The 27,947-nt window shown below is 49.3% G+C and overlaps 1 protein-coding gene across 4 annotated transcripts in view, besides 3 other annotated features; it reads right to left on the reverse strand.

The window, feature by feature from the left end:
* Positions 1-27,947, reverse strand: part of JAKMIP1 (janus kinase and microtubule interacting protein 1) — a 174,351-nt gene that overhangs the window by 143,846 nt on the left and 2,558 nt on the right. For 2 of the 4 annotated variants that reach the window (NM_001306134.2, NM_001306133.2), the window contains exon 1: positions 24,447-24,575. The exons of the other annotated variants lie outside the window; for them this stretch is intronic. The gene's annotated coding sequence lies outside the window, so the exon portion shown is untranslated. Of the gene's footprint in view, positions 1-24,446; positions 24,576-27,947 lie in introns of those variants that run through there. 4 annotated transcript variants of the gene reach the window in all.
* Positions 2,719-2,868: an enhancer, noted in NCBI's record as "active region_21251". NCBI's record gives its function as "activates an Ori minimal core promoter by ATAC-STARR-seq in GM12878 lymphoblastoid cells {active_cell/tissue: GM12878}" and the evidence as "EXISTENCE:reporter gene assay evidence [ECO:0000049][PMID:35858748]".
* Positions 10,735-11,024: an enhancer, noted in NCBI's record as "active region_21252". NCBI's record gives its function as "activates an Ori minimal core promoter by ATAC-STARR-seq in GM12878 lymphoblastoid cells {active_cell/tissue: GM12878}" and the evidence as "EXISTENCE:reporter gene assay evidence [ECO:0000049][PMID:35858748]".
* Positions 21,146-21,766: an enhancer, noted in NCBI's record as "H3K4me1 hESC enhancer chr4:6192917-6193537 (GRCh37/hg19 assembly coordinates)". NCBI's record gives its function as "activates a minimal SCP1, AML or CMV promoter by ChIP-STARR-seq in primed H9 embryonic stem cells {active_cell/tissue: H9 hESC(primed)}" and the evidence as "EXISTENCE:reporter gene assay evidence [ECO:0000049][PMID:30033119]".

The following is a 27,947-nucleotide window of genomic DNA, read 5'->3' on the forward strand; positions in this document are numbered from 1 at the left end:
CACCATCACCACTCTCATCACCATCATTACCACTCCACCACCACCGCCACGATCCCCATCATTACCAACATCATCACCATCACCACCACCACCACTTCCATCACCAACACCACCACCACCACCCTTCTCACCACCTCCATCACCATCACTACCACCATCATTGTCAAGACCATCATAATGCTCTCCACCATCACCACCACTCCCCCCACCCTTCTCACCACCACCACCACCATCACCACCACCATCACTGTCAACACCATCATAACCCTCTCCACCATCACCACCACTCTCCCCACCCTTCTCACCACCACCACCACCACCTCTATCACCACCATCACCACCACCACTACCTCTATCACTACCGCCACCACCACGACCATCACCATAGTCACCACCACCTCCATCACCATCACCACCACCACCATTACCACCCTCACAACCACCCCCAGCACCCTTCTATCACCACCACCATCACCACCATTATCACCACCACCACCACCTCCATCACCATCACCACCACCACCATTGCCACCATTACACCCACCATTGTCCTCAACAGTGTCATCACCACCACCGTTAACATCAACACCATCACCTCTACCATTACCACCACCAATCCCACCACCCTTCTCACCTCCACTGTCACCCTCCTTAACACCATCACCACCACCATCCCCATCCCCATCACCACCCTTGCCACCACAATCACCACCACATCCCCATCACCATCCCACCCTCACCACCACCACTACACTTCCATCACTATCACCACCATCCCAGAACCACCACACCACCACCACCATCCCCATCACCATGACCACCATCACAATCACCTCCATCACCTCCACCACCACCATCACCATCACCGCCACCACCTTTCTTACCATCACCACCACCACCAGCATCCCCATCACCATAACCCACCATCACTGACACCACCACCATTGCCACCCTTACCACCACTGCCATCACCATAATCACCACCATCACCACCCTCACCACCATCACCATGCTGACCACCATCACCACCACCCCCATTACCCTTCTCACTACTACCACCATCATCACCACCACATCATCATCTCCATCACCAGCACCACCATCATCACCACCACCATCTCCATCACCATTACCACCACCATCACCATCATCACCACCATCACCATCATCACCACCACCACCATTCCCACTGCCATACCACCATCACCATCACACCTACCACTGTCCTCATCAATGTCATCACCACCACCATTAACATCAACACCATCAACATCTCCATCACCACCACCAGCCCCAGCACCCTCCTCACCTCCACTACCACCCTCCTTACCACCATCACCACCATCACCATTATCACCAACCACCACCATCATCACCACTACCACCACTCTCACCACCATCACCATCACCACCACCATTATCACTATCACCACCAGCAGGCATTGCCAATGTGTGTCCAGCCATCAAAGAACATCAGCCTAGTGGAAAGGTAGATGAGAAACAGAGGGAAGGATCCAGAGCCCACTGTGATGTAAACCGTCTCGATCCCCCCCCAAGTATGTGTCTAGTAGGGAATGCCAAGAGCATGAGTGCACAACAGTGATAGGTGTGGGAAGACAGAGTCTTCACATGTCTTGAAGGTTGGCGGTTCACCCTCAAAAGCTACTGAACCCAGGAGTACCGTGCAGGTAGGACTGTGCTTCTCTCATCTCAAATGCCAACTCCCTGCCTGGCACGGAATCGAGGCTCGTTCGTTGGCTGAATGTGTTGACAATCCCTGACTGCACAAAAATTACTTCACAACCCAGTTTATGCCTCCATTAAGTGGGGACAATGCCTGTTTCAAACCTGGTGATGTGTATATTCTTGCAAAGCCATGCAGACATTTAACAGCCAAGCATTACTGATATTTTTTATTAATAAGCAACAACTAACAGAAAGCAGAATTCCTTCCATCTTCCCACAAGCTCCCCCACGTGATACCTGATTGTTGTTCCCTGGACACATCCCACACCAGGCCACGCAGGAATTCTCAGTCCCACTCTTTTCTCTTAAGGTAAATCCTTCTGAAACACTGGTCCAATGCTTCTAATGTCTAGGATCCTGTGATCAGGCCAGCACAGATTTCTCTGGTCTGACTTGGCAGGAAAGCTGCTCAGGGCAAAGGATGCTTTCCTCCATGCTGCCCGAGCACTGGCCGAGAAGCCAGCCCTCAGCTTTACATCCTGTTCAACTTTCAACTTCCTTCAGCTGGCAGTGACCTGGTCCCCTGGCACTCACCAGACGATCTGCAGATAACATTAATAAATCCCAGCTGCAGAAAACAGTGCCTGTAATGAGGAAGGACTGGGAATACTGGAAAGACAAGAGACCCAGGCCAGCCCATGTCTAAGTCCCATGCTGCTCCAGCTCTGGCCTGGGTTTCTTCCAGTTACCCCCGAGAACCCCAGCCTGTTCTGACCCCTGGGGAGGAGAGAGGACACGGCCCTGGCCCCAACTTTAGGTAGCTCACGGCCATCTCATCTGCCCCACCCACACAGGACATTGTGCAGGGACTGAATCAGCCAGGGGATGGGAGCCCCTAATGGCAGTGACCAAGGTCCCCAAAGTGACCTTCTGTCCCCAGGTGCTCAGGGCCCTAGGACTCTGTTCCCAGAAACTGGAAGGGATGTTTGATTGAGAAAACTTATCTCACCTGCAAGCTCAGCTCATGTGGCATCCTTGCCCAAGATGCCCCACCCTGCCCAAGATGCCCCACCCTGCCCCCGTGATCACACCACAAACACTGACTGTGCATCTCTTGGCTCCCAGATCGAGTGCAGAGGGTGAAACAGGAACAGCTGCCGCTCTCACACTACCCAAGATCAGTCAAAGGAGGAATCTCGTAATCAGATGATTGCACTGGGGTGAGGTTGGAGCTGAGAGCCTGGGGGCTTCCTGGAGGAGGTGATGCCCCAGCTGAAACTTCAATGTTAGCAGGAGGCTAACCCGATTAACAAAGGATAAACAATGAAAAGAAGAAACCAAGCCCTACAAGATGTTCACGCCTATCTGTGTGGGTTCCTGCAAGCACAGGAAAAAGTTCAGGAGATTTCACCTCCCACTGGTTACCATACAGGGGGTAGAATCTGGAGGGATGGAGAGAAAGAAGGTCTGTTAATGTCCTTAGTCTTTTCTCTAATTGAATAGTTACAACTACAAACACTATTTCAGTGATCTTACAAGGCAATCAAACTCTAATAAAAATGTAGGGGAAGGAAAGAAATGAAAATTTGAAGGAAAATTGGTCTGCAAGCAAAGATTCTAAAAATATAATGATTTCTCTATGGGGAGAGAAACAAACTTCGTCAAAAGCCTCTGGCTTTATGTCAAAACTGCTCCCCAAGAGGATGCCAAATATGAACTATGGAGCAAGCATTCCACTCTGCCTCAGGTGACCAAGACCACAGGACTGACAGATGGATACAGCCTGGCCACTAGGAACACCTTTTTAAAAATGTCTTATTGCAAAATTCCAAAGCCTACAGAAAAGTTCCAAAGACATCAAACAATGAATCCCTTTACACCTTCATCTTGATTCACCAACTGTTTAATTTTTCCTTATCCCATTTTTCTATCTATAAGGATAGATGTGTGTATTTCTATCCTTGTGGGCCATTTGACAGTAAGCTGCAGACACCACGACATCTCACCCTAAATGTTGTGACTTTTATCTCTGAAGAAAAGGACGTTTATAAAATCATAACACCAGCTGGGCATGGTGGCTCACGCCTGTAATCCCAGCACTTCGGGAGGCCAAGGCGGGCGGATCGCTCGAGGCCAAGAGTTTGAGACCAGCCTGGCGAACATGGTGAAACCTCATCTCTACTAAAAATACAAAAAAAAAATTTAGCCAGGAATTGTGATCCCAGCTACTTGGGAGGCTGAGACAGGACAATCGCTTGAACCTGGAAGGTGGAGGTTGCAGTGAGCCAAGGTGGCAACACAGAGCAAGACTCCATCTGAAAATATATACATACATACGTACATACATACATACATAAAATCACAACATAATGATCAAAATCAGAAATTTTATCACTGATTCATTTCCTACTCGAACATCACCAATCGTTGCAATAATACCCTATATAGCAAAATGATGATGTGAGGCCTTGATCCAGGCCTCAGAACACTTATTAATATGAAAGAGCAGTTGTAAACAGGATGCAGCCAGGTCTCCGTCAGAGGTATTGTGAACCACAGACTCCAAAAGTAAGTGGAAAAGTAAAATTTAATGACAATCAGGAATAATCGCCATCACCAGGGCAAGAGTCAGGTGTGACATATGATAAGGGAGGGCTGCTGGGAGGGTCCAGGCACAGCGAGAAAGGACCGTGAATCCTTGGCTGATGCCAGACCTGGTCTTCGGCTCCGTGTTTAAGAAATCAGAGGTCACGGGCCCTCAGGCCCGATGGTTCCCTCTTGTCCTTGGGAGCTGGCCACATGCACCAGAGCGAACCAGGGTGCAGAAGAACAGGCCTGGGCTCGCAGCTCTCAACCTGCTGGGTCCTGTGGAGAGGTCGCAACACTGCTGCAGCCCTCAGTTTCCCCATCTCTAGAGCCTTAAGTCTTCCCCGAAACCCCCCGGAGCAGCTAAAACACGCTCCGTTACCCCAGGCTCTCCTGAAAGGACTCCTGGGAGTGTAAAGCCCCACCCCCTCCCTGCTCATACCTCAGCACCCCAAACTACACCACGACACCCAGCTCCCAGGTGACCCCGTCGTGTCAAGGACTGGTTCCTTCTGTCGCCCCAACTGTTTTGCACCCTGGCCCCTTCCTCACCCTCTGCCCACCCATGTGGCCCCATCTGCCCCTGGACTGTGGCCACCCTCAACCATGTGGAGTTCTGACCCGTGTCTCTTGATCTTGGTGATGGCCACTGCTTTTCTGAGAAACAAAAAACAGTAAAACGTATCCACAGGCTATCCTCGGTTTCCCCACTGCCCTGCAGGTAAAAACCAAACTCCTTAGCCTGGACAAGGCCCTTCCTCATCTAAGACCCCACCTCACCTTCCCACAAGTCCCCCCAAACTCCCCTCACCTGCCAAACTGACCAACATCAGGGGGCAGCAACACAGCACTGACACGCAGGCAAGTGACACTCTCTGGGCCCGCTGAGGCCCTGAAGGCTCAGAAAGGTTAAGGAACCTCCCCAAAGTCACAGAACTCCCATGTGATAGAACCGGGACACAAGTAAGTGAGCTCCAAATGGGGTCCCTTCATTCCGCAATAAAAAGTAAAATGTTTCATCTCTACCAACGGTCTCTACATTCACGCTGCCTCTGGACAAAGCCTGAAAGAACAGCAACACAGCAGTTCAGCGCTGGGAGTACAGGTGAATGCCATTTTTTCTTTTTGCAACACTTTCAAGAATTTTGTAGACAATTTTCAAAGTTCCCAGTAGCAATACTGACGAGAAGTCAGCAGACACTGAGGGATAAGGAGTCCCCAAGCATCTCGCTCATGACTCATCACTGATCTTCTCTGCACAGGAGATAAAAATGGTAGCCTGCTTTCAGCTGAGGACTCACTCCAGCATGGCTGGCACCAGGCAGGATTTCCCACCTACCCAGCTCCACCCAGGCAGATGGATGCTGCCTTAGAACACCAGCACCCTGCTCGTGCCTGGGGCATGCCTGCCAATCCGTGGCTCTCTCGGCACCTGGAAAAGACAGGATTCAAAACTCAGACATTGTTTTCCAATTAAAGTAGCAGATGCCTTGGAACTCTCTTTAAAGAGATTAAATGGCTAAATGTAAATTTACTCAACAATCATCTTGACCCATCAAGGCCCTTGTCCTCTCTGAACCAGTTTCCTGGGGTTCCATCTAGCAGAGATAACGGTGCTACCACTGTCCACAGGGCTGTAAATTGAGAATCTTTACAGCAGATGAGGTCCCTTGCTCATTATAAACACAATGGTAGTCAGCATCATTATTGTTTACTGAAAAACCTACTAAGTGCCAGATACTTCCCAGGCATTAAAGATACAGAGATGAACATGGTGTAATGCTCCCCTGGAGTAGTCAGAGATCTAGTGAGAAGAAGGGACTACAAATCTCTAACAGGCTTGAGTTTGACTTTGAGCACAGTGGGGAGCCACGGAGAGGGTTACACCTGGGTGGAAAAGGACAGATCACCCCCTCATACGTTTCAGACCAGCTGCTCCAGAGTCAACATGGAGGACTGCCTGGCAGCAGGTTCCACGGGGCCCCTGAAGGCAGAGACAGTGTTTAGGCTGTGTCCTGGTCTGGTGGGGTATGAAGATCCCTGAGGTGAACCATGAATACAAACATTTTAGGAGGCAAAACCAGATAGGACCTCCAGCCTAGCTGAACGGGACCAAGGAAGGATTTCCGATGTTCAGCTGTATTGTACATTTTAATCTATTTACCAAGCTCCTCAGTACTCCTACCACAGGACGGTTGTTCTGTAGAAACAAGACGCAGCACTGTACCACATCACCCGGACACACTCAGAATGGGGCAATGGGGTCAGGGAATTAAGGGCTGGGAGATAACTCCATGTTTACAAATGGGGAAACTGAGGCTTGCAGTGGTAGAATGACTCACCCAAGGTTCCACTGAACATGCAAAAGGACCCAGGATTTGCCAGCCTGTGTGGCCAGCAAGAAATTGGAGCCTATATCAAAGTGGTGGGAAAAGCTGGGCGCCATGGCTCACACCTGTAATCCTAGCACTTTTTGGGGGCCGAGGCAGGCGGATCACTTGAGCCCAGAAGTTAGAAACCAGCCTGGGCAACATGGCGAAACCCTGCCTCTACAAAAAATACAAAAATTAGCCAGGCATGGTGGCATGTGCCTGTAGTCTCAGCTACTGGGGAGGCTGAGGTGGGAGGATCGCTTGCATCGGGGAGGTTGAGGCTGCAGTGAGCCATGATTTGTGCCACTGCACTCCAGCCTGGGTGACAGAGTAAGACCCTGTCTCAAAAAAATTTTTTTTAAATGATCGGAAAGGTACAAACCTTGTTGTCATGAGCAGTGACCATGTGACCATGCCTAGACACCCACTGGCATCCTGAAACCAAAAGGGAGCTTCGGGTAGGAGGGTGTTGGTAGACAAACGTCAATCTTCCCAAAGGGAAAAAACACTTAGCAAATATTGATGTAGAGAAGAAGTGAGCTCCAAAGTTGGAGAGGACTTTAAGAAAGGCCATCTGATCCGACCTCCCCATTGCACAGATGGGATGTGGAGTCCAGGGAGGGTGGGGCTAATCCAAATGTACATAGAAAGACAGGATTTGAACCCAGCCCCTTTACTCCCAGTCCTGAGCTCTAATTACTCTGGGCCTCAAACTTAGCCTAGTAAAGGTTTATAAGCCACATCATCACCTACTCCAACAAGCCCTCCATGTTTGCCACGGCTTCTGCCTCTGAAAATTTGGGCCTCCTGGGAAGGGTGTAAGAGAAAGAGCCTGGGCTTCCCTGTCAGTTGGACCTAGAGTCAAATCCTAGATCCAACCCTTCTGCTGTGTGACCTGCATCATCACACCTCACTTCTCTGTCCTGAGGCTGTTGTGTGGATTAAACAAATTAAGGCACCCACTGCAGGGTCTGAAGCAGAGCAGCCCCTCCCACAGACGGAGGCAGATCATAGCCATACTAATAATGGCTGCATCCCCCAAACATCAGTGCAACCTCCTCCACTCCACCCCCAATGCCACTACCCACATCAGAGCCACCATCTTCACAGTGACCTGGGTGGCCCCTGCCTCTGCATTGTCTCTGAGCCTCTGCACACGCTGCAGGCTGTCCCTCTGCCCACAACTCCTCTTCCCCAGCCCCAGCCAAGATGCCTCAACTCAAAGTTAATTTTGCACAGAAGAGGTGAGATTAACCCTAACCACTCAATCTCACGCTTCCACCTCCAAGTGCATCCGGCTTCACTTCCGGCTGCAGGCTTTTAAAGTCAAACATGACTCCTCCCTTTCCACTTCCTGTCCAGCCCCTAACCCCGCCTCGTTGGCCACGCCCACTTCATGCTTCCTGTCCCCGACCCTCCTCCCTGGAGGGGAGGGATAGGAAAGAAGGAAACAGAAGCCCAAGGCTTTGATATATTTAGCTTTGTCCCCCATGGGTATAAAAAAATGACCCTTTAATGTTTTGTATCTCATTTTTGAATTGAGAGACGTGGCTACCTTTCAGGTAAGCAGCTTTTCCTTTGTTACCCTACGATATGGTTTGGCTGTGTCCCCACCCAAATCTCCTCTTGAATTGTAGTTCCCATAATCCCCATGTGTGGTGGGAGGGACCTCTCGGGAGGTAATTGAATCATGGGGGCAGTTTACCCCATACTATTCTCATGATAGTGAGTAAGCTCTATTTGATCAGAACTTTAAGTGGGTTCTGAATATGTTACGAGTAGCAATTTTATCAGAAATTATTTGTGTCTGTGGGTGTGTTTGGTGGGGAATTGAAGTAGGTGGTTTTCTGATGATATTGGAAGCATTTCATGAACCGGGATATTTCGAAACTGCATCTCCTTGATACCGCCAGGTGAAGAAGGACGTGTTTGCTTCCCCTAATGCCATGATTGTAAGTTTTTTAAGGCTTCCCCAGCCATGCAAAACTGTGAGTCAATTAAACCTCTTTTCTTTATAAATTCCCGTCACAGGTATGTCTTTATTAGCAATGTGAGGACAGACTAATATACCCTACCAAATTCTCTAGGTCATGTCTCCAGAGAGGCTTCCACTGACCTCATCCCCACACAAACCTCCCCCATCTCCCAACCTCAGAGCACCTCGTACTTGATTAAGGTCCCTCCCTCTTCACATGGGATTGTTCACCAGCTGTCTCCCTGCCCCGGCACAGTGCCTGGCTCGGAGAGCACACTCGGTCATTCATTTATGAATTGTTTCTCTGGAATGTCTTCAGAATGGATTGCCACATCCAAAAAGATCAGGTTACAAAGCTGGTATAGCATATTCCCAGGAAAAAATAAAACTGGGCTATATGTCCAGAGAGTGGTTGGGGAAAGACTAGAATGTGCTTTTCAAACCTTTGTTGCTCTTTTTCATGAAATGGTCTTAGAAGGACCCACAGGCACACCTAGGTCTCCCATGCCACCTTTGCTGAAACCACCTGGGCAGCCCTATGTGGCTGGAGAGAGGGTGAGATTCTCATCTCAAAGCCCCAGATTCACTAACTCTAACCCCTAAATGACTGCTTAACCTCGTGGGGTCTTGGTTTCCTCCTACCATCTTGCATGGTGGTTGAGAGGCTTAAAGAGGAACCTAAAGCACCTGCTCAGGTGAGTACTCAGTAAATGCAACAGCCAAGAGGCAGACTGGATGGAACAGGACAGGAAGGCTGAGCCCCACACAGGGAGACCCTGCCCCATCCACCACCACCTCCTTCCTCTACCTTCCTGACACCCCCTACAGGCACCGTCAAGGGACAACCCTACAAAGCCACAAACCCACAGGAAACCAAGCCCATTGCCCTGACACAAACCTACCTCCTCTGCAAAAGGTGACCCTGCTCATTGCACCAGGCAGAGAACAAGGGAAGGGAAGTGGCCCAGCAGTGGCCCTGAGTCAGGCTGCATGGGTCTCTTGGGGTATCACTCCTGCCCCCAGACCAAAAGCAACAGCTAAACCAAGAGCTGCCACTCAAAAGAAGAGACTATTCTATGCCAGGTAGTATGCTGGGTACACCTCATCTCAATCCATCCTCAAAGCCTCCTTGTAAAACAGGTAGCAATATTATCCCCATATGACAGATAAGGAAACTGAGGCTCAAAGAGGTGAAGTCACTTTCTTAAAATCCATAGCTTGTAAATGACAGAGTCAGGACTTGAACCCAGGTCTCTCTGAATCTAAGACCAGTTCCCAGCTGCCCAAAGAACTGTGTCTGTTTTGTTTTCTATCCCTAGGACCAGCAGCATGCCTGACATCCTCTTAGAAGCCATGCAAGAACATTTGCAGGGATAAACAGCAGGCTCCTTCCTGCACAACAAGCCATGACCCTCTTAGAACAAAGCATATTGACAGAAAATTAAGTGCCACTGAATTAGCCCCAACACTTTCATAAACAGCAGTTTTGAAATACCCCAGTTCATGAAATGCTTCCAATATCAGAAAACCACCAACTTCAATTCCCCACCAAACATACCCACAAACAGAAATAATTTCTGATAAAATTGCTACTCGTAACATTCAGAACCCACAAAAAATTCTCATCAAATAGAAATGAGAGTTGTTTATCAACATTCAAGAGAACATAATGAAGCTTCCTTTAGAACATTCTGTGCACGTGAAGTCTTCTTTCTTATTGAGATTTTCACTATAAAATCTTATCAGCTGCTGAACAGGAGAGAAACTTGGAGGTGAGGATAGGCAATGGGGACCGATACCTGTGCTACAAGAAGAATTAAGCACCATAACAACACAGACACCCCTCTCCCATCAGATAATTTACTACAATTCAACAAACATGCACCAAGTAATAAGTCACCATTTATATAGCTCTCACTGTGTAGCAGGAACTGTTTCAAACTGTCCAAATTACCTAGTATTCTGCAGCCCTGTGACAAGGGTATTCTTAGTACCCCCATTTTAATGGACCAGCAGGAAGGGGTGAAGTACTTTGACCAACATGACCCAATTAGCAAGTGGGGGTGGAGGTTGTAGCAAGTGGATGTTGCAGCTAATTCAGTGACATTTAATTTTCTGTCAACGTGCTTTGTTCTCAGAGGGCCATGGCACATTGAGCAGGGAGGAGTCTAGCTGCTCAAGTCCCAAGCTTAGTATAAAAACTTTTTCTTTTTCAACTGCTACTTGCTGGCTCTTGGCCAACTCATTGCATCATTTTGGAATCTCCCCTTTATTAACGTGCAAAGACCCCTTAAGAAGTCCCAGAAAAGGCCCCAGCCATCAGGTCGTTTCTGTCTCACCTCTGCTGAAATGAGTCAAGAGACTAGCAAGTAACCACACCACCAAGAACAAGAAGGGGTAGTCAGTGACTTCCAAGCAAAGGGCAACTTCTTTTTGTGGTTTCTACATCCTTTCTATACTCACCACCCCGTGTGGGCTTGATATGACTAGATGCTGAACAGGGCGCTCCTTGACAGACACCTACCAAACACCTCCTGTGTGCACAAGGCTTTGTGAGATGTGCTGGTGGACGCAGTTCACATTTCTTAGGCTTCCTCTCAAGAAAGCAGTTCCAGAAAGGGTGGAGGGGAGGGTCATGCTGAGAGAGGAAGAGACCAGGGGCTCGAAGAGTAACACTAATTACAGGCCTGGAGTACATAAACCAAGATGAGCTTACTGCCAGGTTACTACCAGGTCACTATCAGGTTACCACCAGCTCAGTACAGAAGGAAGTCCTTCTCAGGTGCAGACATTTGCAGAGTCCCTCAATGTCTCAGTGGCTCCCCCATCCCTTGAGGAGCTCCTAGCCAAGCAAAGGAGACACTGTAACAAGCCCAGGTGATAACTGGGAGACCAGGGCCTATGGGTGCCAGCGTGGTGAGGGAAGGGACATCCAAAGTGGGCTGTGGAAGGGGTGAAATCAGGATATGCAGATGGAGGAGCAGGGGTCAAAGAAAAGTCAATTGGCATCAGAGAGGGAGAGCAGCAGCAACGCAAGCTCCATTCATTCATTCATTCATTCAACAGCATCCTAGTGCCTGTTCCATGCCAGACCCTGTGCTGAGCCTCAAACATGAATCTCACACAGCCCCTTCCCTCACAGAGCTCTAGCCAGCGGGGAAGAAGACTGTGAATGGCATCAGTCACACACTGTGACCATGGCTGTGACAGACAGATGTACAGGGAGGGACCCGCCCTGGCCTTGGGAGGATGGGTGATGCCCAAGGAGATGAGCCTGTGCAGACAGGAGGAGGAGGGGTCTGGGCAAGTTCAGGGAAAGCAGACGATTCAATAAGGTAAGGGACAGTGTTATGGAGTGAATGTTTATGTCCCCCCAAATTGATACATTGAAACCCTATGGTGGGTAATTAGGTCATCAGGGTGAAGCCCTCATGATGAGATTAGTGACCTTATAAGAAGGGACAGGAAACCAGGCTCGGTGGCTCACACCTGTAATCCCAGCTCTTTGGGAGGCCGGGGAAGGTGGATTGCTTGAGCTCAGTTCAAGACCAGCTTGGGCAACATAATGAGACCTCATCTCTACAAAATTAAAAAAATTAGTCAGGTGTGGTGGTGCATATTTGTAGTCCCAGCTACTTGGGAGGCTGAGGTGGGAGGATCACTTGAGCCCGGGAGCTCAAAGCTGCAATGAACAGTGATTACACCACTGCACTCCAGCCTGGGTAACAGAGCGAGACCCTGTCTCAGAAAAAAAAAAAAAAAAGAAAGAAAGAAAGAAAGAAAAGAAAAGAAAAAAAGGAGGGGGACACAAGAGAGCTTATTTCCTTTCTCTCTCCACCATGCGAGGGCACAGTAAGAAGGCAGCCTCCTGCGAACCAGGAAGAGGGGCCTCACCATGAACCAAGTTGTCTGGCACCATGATCTCAGACTTCCAGCCTCCAGAACGGTGAGAAATAAGCTTCTGTTGTTTCAGCCCCTCTGTCTATGGTATTTCTGCTATGGCAGCCAAATGGTCTGAGACAGTAGGTAACAGCAGGAGCATCAGGAGATAAGGCCACATGTGTGATGACAAGGAGTCTGTGCTTTATCCTGGGCCAGCGGGGAGCCCCTGGAGCAGTGGAGTGACAGTGTGAGTTTCGGAAACATATCACCGTTTCTAGATACAACTGCTCCTTTCCCCAAACACTTCCTATAACTCCACAGCCATCCCGAGGAAGAAGGGAGCAGATATGACCTGGAGATGCCTAGGAAGGCACAGGTCCCTCAAGGTCTGCTCACAGAGACTTGGAGGTCAGGCCAGTGCCAGCTCCCAAGGCAGCCCTTCCTCCCGCTCAGCTCAGCTCAGCTCAGCCAGTGATGGTCCTGGAGGCTCCAGGTTCCCAGGTCCCATCTTAGTAATACAAGGACTCTTGAAGGTTGAGACAGAACAAAGAGCTAAACATGATACAGGCAGATAACAATACCACAGATATCTAGACACACAGATACAGGTGCCCTGCGAAGGGGTGCTGGCTGATGTCTAAAATGGAACAGGGCCAGGTGCAGTGGCTCACGCCTGTAATTCCAGCACTTTGGGAGGCTGAGGCAGGCGCATCACCTGAGGTCAGGAGTTTGAGACCAGTCTGGCCAACATGGTGAAACTCCGTCTGTACTAAAAATACAAAAATTAGCCGGGCTTGGTGGCGGGTGCCTGTAATACCAACTACTTGGGAGGCCGAGGCAGGAGAGTCGCTTGAACCTGGGAGGCAGAGGTTACAGTGAGCCAAGATCATGCCATTGCACTCCAGCCTGGGTGACAGAGCAAGACTCTGTCTCAATAAATAAATAAATAAATAAATAAATAAATTTAAAAAAGAAAGTAAAATGGAACAGAAACTTCAGTACTCAGGGTGCTGGGACTTGGTTTTCAAACCACCTTCCATGGAGTCCTGGTGCTCCTTGAAGATGTTTGGGAGGGCCAGGAGTCAAAGGTCTGGAGCAACAGATGCTTGACTTCTTTTTTCTAGGTGTAATAATTTTAAACTGTGAAAACATCACACCAACTCAAATGGGCTGCAAACCCAATATTAACCCTGGTAGACCCCACTGCAGGGACCTGGGCTGCCAGGTGAACACTCAGCTTTGTGCAGGGCTTGGGGGACAGCCTCTCCTGTCATCTCCAGTGAAATGCACTCTGAGAATGCAAGACAAGTCACTCCCAAAAACGGAATCACAAATGCGGTATGCAAATCGTCACAACAGAATATTTTCACAACCACAACAAAGTCCATTAATACTCAAGATGCCACAGCTGTTCAGATTGCAACTGTCACCCTATACTTTTCGTTTTGAAAGTTGAATTCATCAGAGCAACCTCACTGTCCTCACTGACTGACCTTATAACTGGTAAATGTTGTCAGTTTAAAGTCATAAGATAAATGTGAGAATAAACCATCACTTCTCTGTTTTGTATATTGGAGCAGGGTGGTTTAGCTATGTAAAAATTTTATTTTTGAAAAGACTTCATTTTGCAGATGGGAAAACAAACCCAAAGAGAGGTGAGTGTATCACACTGTCCTGTGAGTATCATCCCTTCTCAATAGGCAGAAACCAGGTGCCCAGCACATAGCAGACACTCCACAAATGCCCTAGGGAAGGAAGAACCGCTCCCAGGCACCACAGCCAGGAAGGGGGCATGCCTCGAACACACGCCTCCCTACTCCCAGCCCACTGCTGGTTTTCAGACTCTGCCGCCTTCCCTCCTTTCCTAGAAATGACAATACAGCCCACACTCAGCATCACAAGGAGGGAGAGAGGGCAAGGCAAGTGCAGTATAAGAGCCAGGGTGCCTTCCCTCTTCCTCAAGAAAATACTAGAAGCCAAGCACACCCTCCACCCTGAGCGCCAGTGTGGGATGGGTGCTATATGGACGGGAAGAGCTGCTGTCTGCACTCTAGGAAACAAGGGTCCCCCGCGCTCACCTGTAGATTCAGCAAGAGAGCAGGGGTGATTGTGCCTATCGAAGGGAAGCAACCAATTGTCAACTATTTTAGAAACAGCCAAACAGAATGCATAACTACAGGATAAGTGGAGTGATGGTTAATATTGAGTGTCAACTCGATTGGACAGAAGGATAGAAAGTATTGTTCCTGAGTGTGTCTGTGAGGATCTTACCAAAGGAGATTCACATTTCAGTCAGTGGACTGGGAGAGGCAGACCTGCCCTCGGTGTGGGTGGGCACCATCTCATCAGCTGCCAGCACAGCTAGAATAAAGAAGGCAGAATTTGGAAAGAGCAGACTTGCTGAGTCTTCCGGCCTCCATCTTTCTCCCGTGCTGGATGCTTCCTCCCCTCGAACATCAGACTCCAAGTTCTTCAGCGTTTGGCCTCTTGGACTTCCACCAGTGGTTTGCCAGGGCTCTCAGGCCTTGGGCCACTGACTGAAGGCTGCACTGTCAGCTTCCTTACTTTTGAGGTTTTGGGACTCGAACTGGCTTCCTTGCTCCTCAGCTTGCAGATGGCCTAATGTGGGGCTTCACCTTGTGATCTTGTGAGTCAATTATCCCAATAAACTTCCTTTCATATATACATCTATCCTATCAGTTCTGTCCCTCTCGAGAACCCTGACTAATACAAGTGGGAACCAGCCCTGTCTGCCCTAGTTCTTAAACTGGAGAGTGTATTGGAATTGCTCCGAGGGCTCATTAAAAGCCAGACCCCAGGGGCCGGGCACGGTGGCTCACGCCTGTAATCCCAGCACTTTGGGAGGCCGAGGTGGGCGGATCATGAGGTCAGGAGATCGAGACCATCCTGGCTAACACAGTGAAACCCCATCTCTACTAAAAAATACAAAAAATTAGCCGGGCGTGGTGGCAGACGCCTGTAGTCCCAGCTACTTGGGAGGCTGAGGCAGGAGAATGGCGTGAACCTGGGAGGCGGAGCTTGCAGTGAGCTGAGATCACGCCACTGCACTCCAGCCTGAGCGACAGAGGAAGACTCCGTCTCAAAAAAACAAAAGCCAGACCCCAGCTGCAGAGTCCCTGATCCAGGAGATCAGGGTGGGGCCAGAGGACCTGTGGTTCTGAGCTGCTCCCAGGTGAGGCTGCTGCTGGCCCAGGACCTCATTTTGAGAACCACTTCTCAGATCTGTTCACTACAAACCCTCCTGATTAAGGCTCATTAAGGCAGGTGTTCTAGACAATACCTTTAACAGCCCACAGCCAAGTTTTCTATCTAAACTATTAAAACTACATTGAGAAAATATTTATAGACTACAATTAAATATGACACTAGTTCAGACTGGACTTTTTTTTAATTACCTCAGTGTGGAGGTCATTTCCAATTGTGCTGGACAATAAGAGGGAGAAGAGGGGCACTCCATTCAGTAATGGAGATGAAAGTGGACACAGCCAGCCACTCAACACAGTGTCTGGCTAGGGGCTACAGGAAGGAGAACGAACAAGTTGTGGTGAGAATTACACAACTCCTAAGCAGGGAAAGCTCCCAGCTGAAGTGAGGGGAATGCAGGAACAGCCGACGAGGCTTCCCTGGAGCTTGCCAGGGGCAGGTCAGGCGGATGGGCAGGATGCAGACTGAGGAGGCACAGCAGGGTGGGGAAGTCCAAGGAATGGGCATTCCAGGAAAGTGGGATGGTGAGCAAAAGCATGGAAGTTGGAAAAGGAGGTGGTTAGAGTCAGGGAAGTAGTCAAGTAGTCAGTTTGCAAAGGCAAGTGAAGGGGCAAGCAGGAGTGATGGAGGATGAGACAGGAAGGGAAAAGTGGGGGCCTCTGGTGTCTGGCTGGCAAGAACTGAACATCAGCTACAGGCCAGGCATGGCTTGATGCTACTGACTTCTAACTTCATTGCATTGTAGTCACAGAACGTGCTTTGCTTTTTTGTTTGCTTGTTTTCTCTCCTTTTAATTTTATTGAGGTTGTATTAGGGCCTAGCATATGGTCTATCCTGGAAAATGATTCATGGGCACTAGAGAAGAATATTTATTCTGATGTCCTTGGTCTAGTGTTCTATAGGTTTCCACTAGGTCTAATTGGTGTGCAGTGTTGTTCAAGTTCCCTGCTTCCTTGTTGACCTCCTGTAGAGTTGTTCTATCTGTTATTGAAAGTGGGTGTTGACATATTCAACTATTGTTGTTGAATTATCTATTTCTCCCTTCACTTCTGTCAGGTTTTTTGTTTGTTTGTTTGAGACAGTCTCTCACTCTGTCACCCAAGCTGGAGTGCAGTGGTGCAATCACGGCTCACTGCAGCCTCAACCTCCCCAGGCTCAGGTGATCCTCTCACCTCAGCCTCCTAAGTAGCTGGGACTACAGACACACAACACCATGCCTGGCTAATTTTGTATTTTTTTTGTAGAGACAGAGTTTCATCATGTTATCCAGGCTGGTCTCAAACTCCTGGGCTCAAGCAATCTGCCCACCTCAGCCTCTCAAAATGCTAGGATTTCAGGCATGAGCCACCATGCCCAGCCCACTTCTGTCAGTTTTTGCTTCATATATTTTGGTGCTCTGTTGTTAGGTGCAAATATGTTTATAATTGTTATATATTTCTGATGTATTGAACTTCTTGTCATTATAAAATGTTACTTTTTATCTCTAGTAACTTTTTTTGTTTTAAACTCATTTTGTCTAATATCAGTACAGCCCCTTAGCTTTCTTATGGTTGCTATTTACCTGATATATTTTTTCTCATCCTTTCACTTTCAATCTATTTGTATCCTTGAATCTAAAGTGTGTCTCCTATAGACAGTGCTATGATCTGAATGTTTATGTACCCCCAGAATTCATATGTTTCTAGTCACCAGTATGATAGCATTAGAAGGTGAGGCGTTTGGCAAGTGATTAGGTCACGAGGGCGAGCCCTCATAAATGAGATTAGTGCCTTTGTAAAAGAAACCCTAGGGAGCTAGCTCACCCCTTCCACCATGTGAAAACACAGCAAGAAGACTGCTGTCAATGGGGAGGCAGGGCCTCACCAGACACTGAATCTGCCGGTACCTTGATCTTGGACTTCCCAGCCTCTAGAACTGTGAGAAATAAATTTCTATTGTTTATAAGCTATCCAGTCTAAGGTGTTTTGTTATAGCAGCCTGAAAGGACCAAGATAGCATATACTTGGATCATATATTTTATCCCTGACAACATCTACCTTTTGACTGGCTTATTTAACCTATTCATCTTTAATAGTATTGATATAGTTGGACTTATGTCTTCCATTTTATTTTGTTTTCAATATGCCTCACGTCATTTTTGCTCCTTTATTCTTCCATTACTGCCTTCTTTTGCACTAAATGAATCAGACACCGTGTTTGCCATGTAAGTCAGGAGCAAGGACTTCAAAGAGGTATTTCTTTTAAATGTAGATAGCAGAATTACCTTTCTGACAATGTTAAGTTTCTTAAATGGCTAATTTTCAAATCTGTCATTTTTTTTTCTTTTTGGTTCCAGTAAATGGGAGCCAATCAATTATTTATCCAAGAGTCTCTGAACACCATCTACAAAAATGTCCACTACCAGCTTCCTGGGTTGGAAGATTGGAAGTCTACAGCTTGACCTTCTTACAAGGAGGCAGAATGGGGCCACTGTATTTTCGAGATCCCCTTTGTGACATGTGGTGACTGGAAGTGTGGAGACAGCTCATTGCTTCAGACTAAGGTGGGGAGGGATGGTCAGGATTCAGAACAGAATCCGCAATGATGGCGTTTTCAAGTGCTGTGGCACTGTTCTCACAGACACCTGCACAGGAGGTTCTGATAAGGAGAGGTCCTTTCTCCACTTCCAACAATAAACAGATAAGACACCACCCCAAAATGTTCAGCCCACATCCCTACCTAAGAGTGACTTAATACACCCCAAACCTCCTTGCCACTTGACCTCTTAGCATACCCCCAAAGCCCTCTGCTCACTCACAATGATGAAGGGAAGCTACAACCCAGGAGCAAATGAATCGTGAAATTCCAAATTAGCAACTTATTAATCTGGGGCACCTGAGGTTTGGGGCACCTGCATCCCTCCCCCATCTTCTGGCTAGAGCACCCCAATTTTTAATATCCTATCCAGCAATAAGACTTGTTTGTGTCTTCAGTCTGAAGTGTCTTGCATTTGTCCCTATAGAAAAATCCGGGGCTCTGCAATACACAGGCTCTCACAGACTTGGTTCATCCTGGGTGCCTATGGTACTTCCTGGGAGAGATAGATCATGTCAGGAAAGCACCCATCTGCCCAGTGGTTTAAATAGATTAGGCACAATGTGGGGGCATCCAGGCCCTTTTTCAAAATAAGATATCTGGTTTGCAAAAAGAACCTCGTCAAGCCCTGAGCCTGGAAGGCTCCAAGACTTGCTGAGGAAATCCAATTACTGCCGGGCATAATGAGCTCACTCACCCAGCGCCCTGGTCCAACAAAGCAGTCCTGCCAACATCCAGAAAGAAGGTTTGTCTTCCACAGTGCATTCGGAGGGTATGGCTTGGGAGAAAGAGAAAAACCAGGCTAATGGAATAAGAAATGTGACCTTCCGGGACCACAGGAATGCAGTTTGTTTCTGAAGAACAGCATTCTAACATTTTTCTGCTGCCTTAAACTAAAAGCAGGCTGCACCGTAAGGTAGCGAAATGCCAGTCTGAAGAGGGAAAGGGAAACTTTGAGTTTTACAGAACCTTCGCAAATCTCATCTCTGGACTGATACAACAATCAGGGGTATTCCCACCCCAAGCATTATAGTATCTGAGGCTCAGACAATTGACTGTCACTAGAGGTGGCTTCTGCAGAGAACAGAGTGAATTTTTTTTCAGCGCAGAGTGGACCTGATGCAAGCAATGGCGAGAACATACTGTGATCCTGCTAAGGTCCCTCCCAACACTGACATTATGGGAATCTGAGACCAAAAGCCAAAAATCTATTAACCACCTACTGTGCACATTGCCCTGGCCAGGCTGTGGGAGTCCCAGTGTGAATCAGAAAGCATTCCTACCCTCACAGAGCCCTCTGTCTAATGGAGGAGTCAGACAAGTCACTGGCAGCTGCAATACACAGTGGCTAGGGCAGAGGGTGGCGTAGGGCAGTGAGGGCCCTGGGGTTATGCCTGGCCCTACCTGGCCCAGCCTGGGGATGGAGTTTTCTGAAGGAAGGCGCATGATGGATCTTAAGCACAAGTGGATGGGGTGGGGGAGGCGAACAGGCAGATCTATCAAAGGGAACAGCATGTGCAAAGGCCTGGCTCAGTCGAGAGCAGCCGGGGGACTGTGTAGCTAGACACAGGCTCTGCTGCAGGCGTGGCAGGAGAGGGAGGCAGCGTGGGCCATGCCACACTGGCAAAATCAGAGGAGAGAAGAAAGCCCCATTAGTCCATTCCCCTGCCCCTGGGCCTGTCTGAATCTAGCCCCAATGACTTCATTCACTCAATCCTCCTTTGTAGAGGAAGTCAGCGGGTGTCTCCCCACTCCTGGGGCCCAAGAAGGATGGAGAAGTGGCACCCGAGGAGCAGTTCTCAGGAGAGGGCTATGGTTCATGGGGGAAATGATGGGAGCTGAATTGGGAGCAGGCCATGGGGGGGGCTGCAATGCCAGGCTAAATTTACAACATGACGTTACAGGCTGCATATAGATCATAAGATGGTTACTATAGTGAAGCAGATTAACATATCTCTATCTAACATAGTTACACATGTTTTGTTGCAAGAGCAGCTAAAATCTACTTATTCAACAAAAACCCCCAATAAATGCAATTGTATTAACAAAGTCCCCATATTGCACTTTTCCTCTCTAGACTTGCTCATCCTACACTCTTTCCATAAGTGAACAGCACCCTTAGGAGCAGCCAGAGGTAGGCTGAACCCGCCACTGCCATTTCCACCTGTGCAAGCTCAGATAAGTCACTCACTCCCCAGCAATGAGGTGGTGGAGGTCCAAGGAGAGGCCTGGGGAGGAAGGTCTGCTGAGCACACCCCGCCTCCCACCCCCAACCCCAGCAGGCGGCACGATGCCAGGCACCTGAGGGCAGGTGTGCACAAGGAAAATAAGGATGACAGTGTTAGCTGACGCCTGCAAATCTCAGGACAAAGTTGCCCCCCGGCATCTCTCCATGTGGAACAAGCACACACACCCAGTGACAGGGATGGGGTGATACCCCAGGACGCCAGAGCTCCCAGGGTGATGTGACATGTCTCCCTTGTGGCTCCTGGCTGGGTTGGGAACTCGGCCCATAGTCCCCTCCTGGGTCTGACAGAAAGCAGTGGAGATGGGGTCCAGAGCAGAGAGGTTGCATCAAACAAGAGCACAGGCGGCCTGCACCACATCCTGAGAGTCAACTGCCCTCGGCAATCAGAGCTGGTGTGGGGCAGTTCCAGGATGGGGACAAACAGCAGCTTTGCCCATACTGGGGGATGCAGGGAGTGCAGAAAATGAACGTGAGGTTGGAAACTCTTCAATCCTGGTGCAATTAATATTGCAAAAGACTTACACAGGCTAGAGCCACTGAGTGGCCAAGAGGCAATAGAGTGGCCCGACACTCTTGGGCCACGCCAAAGTCATGGGCGTGGATGCCAGTGAGTGAGACCCCAGTGTGTGTCAGGCTCCAGACTCCAGACAGCTCTACCCCTGCGCTCCTCACCAGGCCTTCCCGAGGGCTCACAGCCAGAGACACAGCTCCCACCGCCAGTGTGACTGTCCCCTGCATGTCCCTCCTGAGGCCCTCAGAGAACTCATCACGGGCCTTAGTGGCTGGGTCAGCCTCTGTATTTCACCTGTGGAGGCTATGGGTCTCCCCTCCCCCAGAACGTAAGCTGCTGTGGGCAAAGACCTTGCCACCCCTTGTCCTCATGGGGACCCAGATCCTCGCAGCGCACAAGGTGGCCCTCAAAGGTGCACTGTCATTGTTTGTCATCAGGCTGAGCTTCTTGTTTACAGAGGAGGAAACTGAAGCACAAAAACCATTTCATTAACTTGCCTGAGGTCACAGACCTCATAGAAGGCAGAGCTGGAGGGTAAGCCCCATAGACCTGAGCCTGGACCCTGCTGCCCTCTGGAGCTTACAGCTACAGCAGCAAGGCCCAGTGGAATACAACATGCACGCCACGTGTAATTTCACAGTTTCACTAGCCACATTTTAAAAGGTAAAAAGAAGATGAAATTAATAATACATTTCATTTAGCCCAATATATACAAAATAGCATTATTTTGAAGTAAAATTCATGTGAAAATTATTACTAAGATATTTTACATTCCGTTTTTTTCATACGTCTTCAAGCCCAGGAGTGCATTTTATTTATTTATTTATTTATTTATTTATTTATTTTGAGATGGAGTTTCGCTCTTGTCACCCAGGCTGGAGTGCAATGGCCCAATCTTGGCTCATTACAACCTCCGCCTCCCGGGTTTGAGCTATTCTCCTGCCTCAGCCTCCCGAGTAGTTGGGATTACAGGCGTGTGCCACCATGCCCAGCTAATTTTTGTATTTTCAGTAGAGATGGGGTTTCACCATGTTGGCCAGGCTGGTCTTGAACTCCTGACCTCAGGTGATCCACCCTCCTCAGCCTCCCAAAGTGCTGGGATTACAGGCGTGAGCCACCGCGCCTGGCCAGGGTGTATTTTTCACTCACAGTCCATCTCAGTCCACAGGAGCCGCATTGCAGTGCTCAATAGCCCCTACCGGCGAGTGGCTACTGGAATGGGACAGCTCAGCTCCAGGAGGTCCCCTGGTGGCCTCAGGACAAGTGTATGAGTCACCTGGCATTAGGAAACTCATTCACAATCACAATGACCATGACTTCCACAAGTAACACCAGCAGCAGCACCGGCTGACAAACACCCACTGCACGCAGACGCCACTGAGCCTGTTTTGGTTTTGGTCTACATCCAAAACCAACCCCAAGAGATAGGGACATTCTCTTTATTTCACAAAAGAAGGAAGTGAAGCTCAGAAAGATGAAGGAACGAGCACTCGATCACAGAGCTAGCAGGGTGGAGTTCGGAAATTAAGTCAATAGCAGTGATTACTTATTGCACACCTGCTCTGTGCCAATGCCCAAGGCTGACAGAGGAGGAGAAACCCCACAGGCAGGGTTCCTGCCCTCATAGTGCTTGATTCTAGCTTCTGGGGAGGGGAAATGAGAATAAAATCATTTCAGATCATGATGATTCTCAAAAGCAAACAGGGTACTGATGGGAACCAGGGGCACAGCCGCTATCTGGGACAGTCAAAGACCTCCCCAAGGAGGAGAAATTTAGGCTGAGACATTGTGATGGTTAATATTGAGTGTCAACTTGATTGGTGAAGGATGCAAAGTATTGTTCCTGGGTGTGTCTGTGAGGGTGTTCCCAAAAGAGATTAACAATTGAGTCAGTGGACTGGGAGAGGCAGACCCACCCTCAGTGTGGGTGGGCACCATCTAATCGGCTGCCAGCGTGGCTAGAATAAAGCAGGCAGGAGAAGATGGAAGAGCAAACTTGCTGAGTCTTCTGGCCCCATCTTTCTCCCATGCTGGATGCTTCCTGCCCTCGGACATCAGACTGCAAGTTCTTCAGCTTTTGGACTCTTGGACCTACACCAGTGGTTTGCCAGGGGCTCTAAGGCCTTTGGCCACAGGCTGAAGGCTGTGCTGTTGGATTCTGTACTTTTGAGGTTTTGGGATTCAGACTGATCCGCCACTGGTTTCTTTGCTCCTCAACTTGCAGACAGCCCATCGTGAGACTTTACCTTGTGATCGGTGAGTCAATTCTCCTTAATAAACTCCTTTTCATATACACATATATCCGATTAGTTCTGTCTCTCTAGAGAACCCTGACTAATACAGACGTGAGGGATGAAAAGAAGCCAGTCTGGGCCAGGGTAGGGATGAACATTCCAGGCAGCAAGCAGCTCACACAAGCGCTCTGAGCAGCAAGAATCCAGCATGTTTCTGCAACCGAAAGAAAGGCAGCCAGGGCTCCCTGCGCTGTGCCAGCTGCCTCTCTGGGGCACTCGGCTGGCTCCCGCATCGTCCCTCCTGCCTCGGGGTGCTCCCATGCTCTTGCTTGGAAAATGAGGAGCCGACAACCATTCTGCAGGTTTCAAGGACAAGTCAAGGCTGGGAGCCCCCAGCACGATGCTGATCATGGGAGGCTGAACTGATGCATTAGTGAGCAGGGGAGGAGAGGGTGGAAGAGCCTGCAGAATAGGACCTGAGCAGCCAAAGCCCTGGGAAGAAAATGTTAACACCCTGAGCACTGCTTCCAACACCAGCCGCAAAGGTGAGAACGACCCCAATGTCCATCCACAGATGAATAGACCATTGTGTTGTATACGCACCATGGAATACTACTCCGCCATGAAGAAGAAGGAAGCAATGACACTTGATGACACTTGCTATAACATGGGTGAACCCTGAAAATATCAGGCTAAGTGGAAGAAGCCAGCCACATACGATCTGGTTCTACATCTGTGAAATATCCAGAACAGGCAAATCCAAGGAGACAGAGGGCAGATGGATGGATGCCGGGGCTGGGAGAGGGGAAGTGAGGAATGACTGCCCATGGGCACAGGGTTTGTTCCGGAGGGAGGAAAATGTTTTGCAGCTAGATTGAGGTGACAGTTGCACAACATCGTGAATGCAGTAAATGCCACCGAATTGTACCATTGAAAACGGTTTACAGTAAATGAATTTCACCTCAATTTTTTTAAGAAAAAGAAGGGGAAAAAGAATTGCTTCAATGGAAGACACAGGTTGTGATCTCATTCAATACAGTCCCATGTCAGAACAAGCAGAGAGGGGTGACCAGCCACCAGATGCAACAGGATAGGGTGAGAGAAGACAGGAGACAGAAGCTCCAAGGGTAAAAGATAGTGGAAAGCTACTTACCAGCTCACTCCTTGCCTCCACTGTCAACTCCTCAGAGTCCTCATGGAAGGAAACCCTGTAGTGATGTGTCCCACCCCCTCCAGTGCTGTGGAGGGACCCGGGTCAGTCCAGGCTCCTGACTCAAAATGCAGCCAAGGGAGAAGCTCAGAGGCCAGCACACCGAGCCAGCGCCTCCCTCTGACCTGGCAGGCATAAGGGTATTTCTGCCACAATGAGCACCCACTGGCAGTCCCTGGCTGGTGCACACAGAACCCCTTTCATTCCTTAAAGTGGCCCTTCAGCCAGTCTAAGCCACGGTGGGAGACAGGAGAGCAGGCAGCCTGTACCCAGGTCCTCCCAGGCCAGTTGGGAGTTTTAGGATGTGCAGTGGGTCCTGAGGATGCTTGCAAGCCCTGGAAAGGATAAAGGGGCCACCTCAGACCACACAGAGGGGAACAGGCTGACCTAACACAAGTGGGCGGTGGTGCCCAACAAAGGGACCCGCCACTGCAGCTGCTGTCCACGGCGTGATCCTAGACTAGGCCTTTCACCTCCGTTCTTTAGTCTCATCCTCACAACCGAGGGATGTGCAGGGACCAGACTGGGGTGATCCCCATTTCCCAAATGAGGAACCTGAGTTGCAGAGGGTTCAGGGGGCTGCAGACAATGGGACAAGAATAGCCGGTAAATGGCAGAGCCGGTGCTCAAACATAAGTCTGATGTCAAAGCCTTCTCTGCTAAATTGTGATGCCACTAACATTTGTTTTATTCCACAAAACTCCCACAAGACAGCACATGGCATCAGTGAAGAATGTGGGCTGCAGGTGAGGATGATAGAGAGTTCTAGAGGTGGATGGTAGCGCTCGTTGCTCAACAGTGTGGATGTACTTCATGCCACTGAATTGCACACTTAGAAATGGTTAATATATTAACCATGATTAAATATTTTAATATATTTAGTACATTAACCATGATGAAAAAATATTTTAAAAAATGATCAGGTGCTAGGCCATCAAGGAATTGTCAACAAATTTTTGAAAATAGATATCACACACATTCTCTTAACATGGTAAAATTAAATTAGAAGCTAATAAAAATATAAATCTCCCTGCTCCTGTCCCCTCCCCCACAAAAGAACATGGGCTTCTTGGCTTCAAATCCCTGCTCTGGAACATACTCGCTTTATAATCCCTGGCGAGCTTCAGAGCCCCTCTATGCGCATCTATAAAATAGAAATGCAGGTGTGCGCCTCCCTCTGGGACTGAATGGGTTCAGTCAGACCAGGGACAGCACAGACCAGCGGGAGGCAAACTCCTCCTGGAAAAGGCCAGGGAGTAAATGTCTTTGGCTTCCCAGATGTCTCCCCCAGCTGCTCAGTTCTGCCAGTCTGGCACAAATGCAGCCACAGACCATACATACACAAATGGGCGTGGCTGTGTTCTAATAAAACTTTATTTACAAAAGCCCCTGGCATAGATCCTGGCACTTGCTAAGTGCCATTCACACATGTTAACTGTTATAATGAAGAAAAACAGCCTTTCTGTCCATTCACCTCTACAGACTTATGAAAGGCATAACACTTCGGGTTGCAGTTCTGAAAACCAATACTAACATCAAAGGCAGGAGGGATGCCCCCGGCCCCACTGGGGAGCTGCCCCTCCCACACTCTGAACTGCCTCTAGGTGCTTTCACCACGGGCCCTTTCTCCTCTACTTTCCAGTATGAGGTTGGTGCAAAAGTAATGGCAAAAACCGTGATTATTTTTGCATCTAATAGTGACTGTGGCCACTCCCTGCAAGCGCTCCTGCGTCCCACCTCCTACAGGGCTTCCTAACCCAGCCCTTCACAGCATGAGGCCCCCACAGCTCCTTCCCTGTCCCTGCCCCTCCCTGCTGATCCACAGCCCCCTGCACAGTCCACCTGGCCTCAGAAAAGAATGAGCAAAGAAAATACTTTCTGAAGGCATCCAGGGCTAGAGTCAGGATGCTGTGGTCCCACCAGTGGCCAGCCCTGGGGTCACTGTCTGAGCCTCCACTTACAGCAACACCAATGGCCACTACGGACATGACGGTGACGTGCTTCCATTAAAAGCACCAAGAAGGGGCCAGGTGCGGTGGCTCACGCCTGTACTCCCAGCACGTTGGGAGGCCGAGGCGGGCAAATCACCTGAGGTGAGGTCAGGAGTTTGAGACCAGCCTGGTTAACATGGTGAAACCCTGTCTCTACTAAAAATACAAAAAAATTAGCCAGGCATGGTGGCAGGTGCCTGTAATCCCAGCTACTTGGGAGGCTGAGGCAGGAGAATCACTTGAACCCAGGAGGCGGATGTTGCAGTGAGCCAAAATTGTGCCATTGCACTCCAGCCTGGGCAACAAGAAAGAAACTCTGTCAAAAAAAAAAAAAAAACAAAAGCACCAAGAAGGCTTTCTGATTTATTCTCATGCCATCCCTGTTGGAAGGTCATTTTCCGTTACAAGGGTCAGTGTGCTCCGTGGGGCAACATCTGAGGCCCGGAGTCAGGGAGCCCCACTTCTGAGTCCCCCAGTGTCCTGAGACTTGGCTCCCTCTGCGGTGTTCACGTAGACCTCACCCTGTGTGGTGCCCGTGCAGCAAAGATGAGATAACCCGAGGCAGAAGCGGGAGGTTAAGTGCTGATATTTCCTTACGTGGCCCTCATTCCCCTTATCCAGACAAAAGAAGTGAGTACAGGGGCTAAGCGACTTGCCCAACGTCACACTGTCAGTAGGGTGGGAGCTGGTCCTCAACACAGTTCCACTGACCTAGCCTGGTCCCTCATACCTCTCAGCCCACCACAATGGTGGCCACTGCTCTGATCATTAGTTTCATCGTTAGCTAAAGAAGGACCCCAAATGTGGGCGTGGGAGTTTGCTCTGTGACAAGGCTAAATGAATAAATATTCTCATAGCTTCTTCACCATCATCACCCCTCATAAATCGGCTACCTTTGCTCAGAGACCACACCTCTGATCCCCACACCAACCTAGCCAAAGAGATGCCACTGCCCCCTTTTATACAGGAAATGGAGGCTCAGAGAGGTTAATCTTCTTACCCAAGATCACACAATGACAAGGGATAAACTACAGGCAAGTCCAACTTCAGAAGCCCTGCAGGTTGATCCCGTCGCCACTATGGGGAGAGGAGTGACCCAGCAGAACTGGGACACACTGCAGTCATCCTCAGACTCCCCAAGGGAAGCCCCCATTTAGTTAGAAAGCCCAGCAGGGAGGCACTTGCCCAGTCACAGCTAAGTGAGGCAGGGCCTGAATGGGAACCCTGGCAGTCTGGCTCAGAGCCTGAAGAGACACAAGGTCCCACCCTCGAGGAGTTAAACAGATAGCCATAGCCTGCAGTGGCAATTGCTGCTGGCTTAAGCATTAGAAATTGTTCCCTCTGCCACTTGTCCCACAGCCCAATCCACCCTTACACACCAAGAGAGTGGGGCCACGGTCCTGCCACTTCCTCGTGCAGCCTTCCTGGCCGGGCCGCCTGTCCCCATCTCTCC

Source organism: Homo sapiens, chromosome 4 (assembly GCF_000001405.40).
Source record: "Homo sapiens chromosome 4, GRCh38.p14 Primary Assembly".
Classification (NCBI taxonomy): domain Eukaryota; kingdom Metazoa; phylum Chordata; class Mammalia; order Primates; family Hominidae; genus Homo; species Homo sapiens.